Here is a 5,101-nt window from a genome sequence, read left to right as displayed (position 1 = left end):
TCACAGCCTGAGATGGTTTGGCTTGTCTCCACCCAAATCTTATCTTGAATTGTAGCTTCCACACTTCCCACATGTTGTGTGAGGGACCCAGTGGGATATAATTGAATCACAGGGGTGGTTCCCCCCATACTGTTCTTCTGGTAGTGAATAAGTATTGTGAGAGCTGACGATTTTATAAGGGGTTTCCCATTTTGCTTGGCTCTCATTCTCTCTTGTCTGCCACCATGTAAGACATCCCTTTTGCCTTCTGCCATGATTGTGAGGGCTCCCCAGCCATGTGGAACTGTGTATTCATTAACCCTCTTTTTATTTATAAATTACCCAGTCTCAGGTATGTCTTTATCAGCTGTGTGAAAACAGACTAATACAGTAAATTGGTACCTGTAGAGTGAGGTGCTGCTGTGAAGATACCTGAAAATGTGGAAGCACTTTGGAACTGGGTAACAGGCAGAGATTGGAACAGTTTGGAACGCTCAGATGAAGACAGGAAAATGTGGGAGTTTGGAACTTCCTAGACTTGTTGAATGGCTTAGACCAAAATGCTAATAGTGCTATGGACAATAAAATCTAGGCTGAGGTACTCTCAGATGGAAATGAGGAACTTCTTGGGAACTGGAGTAAAGGTGACCCTTCCTATATTTTAGCGAAGAGACTAGTGGCATTTTGCCCCTGCCTTAGAGATTTGTGGAACTTTGAAGTTGAGGAAAATGATCTAGAATATCTGGCAGAAGAAATTTCTAAGCAGCAAAGCATTCAAGAGTTGACTTGGGTGCTGTTAAAAGCATTCAGTTTTAAAAAGGAAATATAGCATAAAAATTCAGAAAATTTGCAGCCTGACTATGCAATAGAAAAGAAAAACCCATTTTCTGAGGAGAAATTCAAGCTGGCTGCAGAAATTTGCATAAGCAACAAGGGGCCAAATGTTAATCACCAAAACAAAGGGGAAAATGTCTCCAGGGCATGTCAGAGACCTTTGTGGAAGCCCCTCCTATCACAGGCCCAGAGTCCTAGGAGGAAAAAATGGCTTTATGGTCAGGGCTAAGGGATCCCCCACCCTGCTCTGTGCAGCCCAGGGACTTGATGTCCTGTGTCCCAGATACTCTAGCTGTGGCTAAAAGGGGCCAAGGTACAGCTAGTGTTGTGGCTCCAAGGGGTGCAAGCCCCAAGCCCTGGCAGCTTCCACATGGTGTTGAACCTACAGGTGCACAGAAGTCAAGAATTGAGGTTTGGGAACCTTCACCTAGATTTCAGAGGATGTATGGAAAACCTGGATGTCCAGGCAGAGGCGTGCTGCAAGGGTGGAGCCCTCATGGAGAACCTCTGCTAGGGCAGCATGGAAGGGAGATGTGGGGTTGAAGTCCCTACACAGAGTCCACACTGGGGCACTGCATAGTGGAGCTGTGAGAAGACGGCCACTGTCCTCCAGACCCCAGAATGGTAGTCCCACTGACAGCTTGCATCATGTGCCTGGAAAAGCCACTGACACTCAATGCCAGCCCATCAAAGCAGCCAGGAGAGGGGACTGTACCCTGCAAAGCCACAGGGGCAGAGCTGCCCAAGACCATGGGCATTAAGCATGACCTGGATGTGAGACATGGAGTCAAAGGAGATCATTTTGGAGCTTTAAGATTTGACTGCCCTGCTGGATTTCAGACTTGCATGGGGTCTGTAGCCCCTTTGTTTTGGTCAATTTCTCCCATTTGGAATGGCCATATTTACCCAATGACTGTACCCCATTGTATCTAGGAAGCAACTGACTTGCTTTTGATTTTACAGTCTCATGGGTGGAAGGGACTTGCTTTGGCTCAGGTGAGACTTTGGATTGTGGACTTTTCAGTTAATGCTGAAATGAATTAAGACTTTGGGGGACTGTTGGGAAGGCATGACTGATTTTGAAATGTGAGGCTATAAAAGTTGGGAAGGGCTAGGGGAGGAATTATATGGTTTGGCTGCATCCCCACCCAAATCTCATGTTGAATTGTAGCTCCCATAATTCCCATATGTTTTGGGAGGGACCCAGTAGGAGATAATTGAATCCTGGGGGCAGTTTCCCCCACACTGTTCTGGTAGTAAATAAGTCTCATGATATCTGGTTATTTAATAAGGGGATTCCCCTTTTGCTTGGGTCTCATGCTTTCTTGTTTGTGCCATGTAAGACATCCCTTTCACCTTCCACCATGGTTGTAAGGCCCCCCGAGCCACATGGAACTGTGAGTTCATTAAACCTCTTTTTTTTTTTTTTTTTTTTGAGATGTAGTCTCACTCTATAACCCAGGCTGGAGTGCAGTGATTCGATCTCAGCTCACTGCAATTTCTGCCTCCCAGGTTCAAGCAATTCTCCTGCCTCAGCCTCCCAAGAAGCTGGAATTACAGGCACCTGCCACCATGCCTGGCTAAGTTTTTGTATTTTTAGTAGAGATGGGGTTTCACCATGTTGGCCAGGCTGGTCTCAAACTCCTAACCTCAGGTGATCTGCCCACCTTGGCCTCCCAAAGTGCTGGGATTACAGGCGTGAGCCACTGTGCCGAGCCTAAACCTCCTCTTCTTTACAAATTACCCAATCTCAGGTATGTCTTTTTCAGCAGCATGCAGACTAATACACAGCCTCCTGATTTGGTATAGATATGAGGGTTCTAATCTCTACCCATGTTTCTATCTCACTCTGCCCACTATATAAAGTTTACCCAATTCCCCTTTTTTCTGTCTGCTTACTCCACTATTACATTTAGAATGAGTTATGCTGATGACTTTACATTGTGGTCCATCAGTTGTAGAATATTATGTTGGATCATTATTGACTTAGAGAAATAATGGACCCTATTAAGAAATCCTGATCCAGAAGCTAGTACCATAACTGATATGATTTGGCTGTGTCCCCACCCAAATCTCATCTTGAATTGGAGCTCCCATAATCCCCACATGTCATGGGAGGGGTCCAGGGGGGTAATTGAATCGTGGGGATGGGTTTTTCTTGTGCTATTCTCATGACAGTGAATAAGTCTCATGAGAACTGATGGTTTTATAAAGGGCAGTTCCCCTGCACATGCTCTCTTGCCTGCCACCATGTAAGATGTGCCTTTGCTCCTCCTTCGCCTTCTCCCATGATTGGGAGGCCTCCCCGGCCATGTGGAACTGTGAGTTCATTAAACCTCTTTTTCTTTATAAATTACCCAGTCTCAGGTATTTCTTCATAGCAGTATGAAAGTAAACTAATACAATAACCAATGTGATTTTGAATATTCTTCTTTAGGGATAAGGGAGAGTGCATTTTTAGGTACATGAGGAATTTTATGTTAGGCAGATGAATTTTTGGTTTGGGTGTATTGTACGGGTGTGCATGAAAATTGAGATGTCAAAGTGATGGTTGTGATGAATATTGGTCAGGGTTATTCCCTGACTGCTTCCTTCCCAAATACAGGTGGCATTCAGTGCTCTGCCTCCTGCTGTGGAAATCAGGTCAATGAGCCTTCCTCTCTCCCCAGGCCCTGGCAGTCAGCATACAAGCTGCTGACCTGTTCTCACTGGCATCCAGAAATCTAGACAGAGGGGCACACCTGCATAGCTGAGACTATTAGGAAGATGTGGAGATGTCAGGGAGGCAGCACTGGAGCTGGGGTCACTGGCCTGTTAGCAGCCACCCTGGTTTCTCAGTCCTGGTCCTGATCTCAACTGGAACTGGCTCTGGCCCTGGAGACGAGACTGTCAGTGCCTCAGCCCTATCATAGGGGCTTCCCCCTCTGTGTGTTGCAGCCCAGGGTCAACTGCCAGAACCTGCATCTGTTTGAGTGGACGGTTCCTCAAAGCAGCAGGCCACCCTGCCTGTGCTGATGGCAGCCAGGAGGGCTAGACAATGAGACCTCAGGCTAGCACCAACAGAAGTCGACGTATAACTACCGAGTGCCTATGCTGCTTGAGTGATGTAACTTTCAGACTCATGTTCCCACAATTTCCCTCTTCTGATTCATTTCAGGAGCCCATGGTGATAGCTCTGATTACACACCCTACATTAGCTTTTTCTCCCCACCTTACTTCTTCACTCTCCTAACCACTGTTTCTTCCAGCTAAGATAAACTAACTGCACCTGAATTCTTTTCTCAGATCCTACCTCTGAGAGGAAATAAACTAAACAGGTTCTCTTCAGCAAAAAGGAATTTCACTGGAAGGATATTGGAGGCTCAAAGAACGGAGGAAAATGAAAGCTCACAACCAGGCCTGGGAAATAGAACATCCAAAGTCCTGCCCTGGAAGAGCCAGTCCCCATGTCACTGTATCCCTCACAGAAAAGCCAAAGCCCAAGGTATGTGTCTGGTTTTCAGAGTCCAAGTTGCAGCCTCCCTCTGTATGTCAGTACAGGCTGGAAGACAGAAAAGGATCCCTTTGGATTCCAAGGTAGGAGGTGGGTGCCATCTCCCACCAAGACTGTGTGCTATGGGAAACACTTGTAGCATAGGCTGGGGTGCTCTTATAAAGAAGGGCTGGACTCCTGCAAGACAAAAATAAAGACACATGACCCCTCCAAGCCAAAAAAAAAAAAATCCCAAAACTAATGGCTTTTTTATTTTCTTGTATTCTCCAGGATCACTGTTAAGGAAGATTATTCACTGGCACTTGTGAAAGTATGATAAAGCAGAGTTTACTCAGGACAATTGCAATGAGTGTAAGGACGAATGCAATGGGATTTGCAGTGTGGAAGAGAGATTGGGCTCACCTCCAAATGCAGCATGGACCAGTGGGAATGTATGGCCAAGGAGCAGTGTGGGGGTCAGGGATTGAAAATTACTAAGAGGAAATATCAGGGGTCGGGGGATTCTGGCTAAACTGACCTAACAGGATTCTTGCTAAAGACAGGTCAGGGTGATCAGACAGCACCTGGGGAATGGTGGAGGATGCGGAACCTGATGAGATATCAAGGGTGATCAGACATCAAGGTAGGTAACTGACTTAACAGGTTCTTTGCTAAAACTGGATTTTGCAAGGAAGTGTACAGACAGGCCTAGGAGAAGGTTTGGAGTCTTAGTAAAGTTTGGATGAGCAAAGAATCTTTGTCATCATCAGGAGGATATAAAGCCACTGGCTGTTTTCTGCTGATGCCACCAAAATG

General features: G+C 46.1%; 1 annotated feature.

Annotated features, from left to right (window-relative positions):
- Positions 3,902 to 5,101: an enhancer, noted in NCBI's record as "CDK7 strongly-dependent group 2 enhancer chr5:32653566-32654765 (GRCh37/hg19 assembly coordinates)". NCBI's record gives its function as "activates an origin of replication core promoter dependent on BRD2, BRD4, P300/CBP, MED14 and CDK7 cofactors, with strong dependence on CDK7, by STARR-seq in HCT116 cells {active_cell/tissue: HCT116}" and the evidence as "EXISTENCE:reporter gene assay evidence [ECO:0000049][PMID:35650434]".

This window comes from Homo sapiens, chromosome 5 (genome assembly GCF_000001405.40).
Source record: "Homo sapiens chromosome 5, GRCh38.p14 Primary Assembly".
NCBI lineage: Eukaryota > Metazoa > Chordata > Mammalia > Primates > Hominidae > Homo > Homo sapiens.
This window is presented reverse-complemented; position numbering and strand designations above follow the sequence as displayed.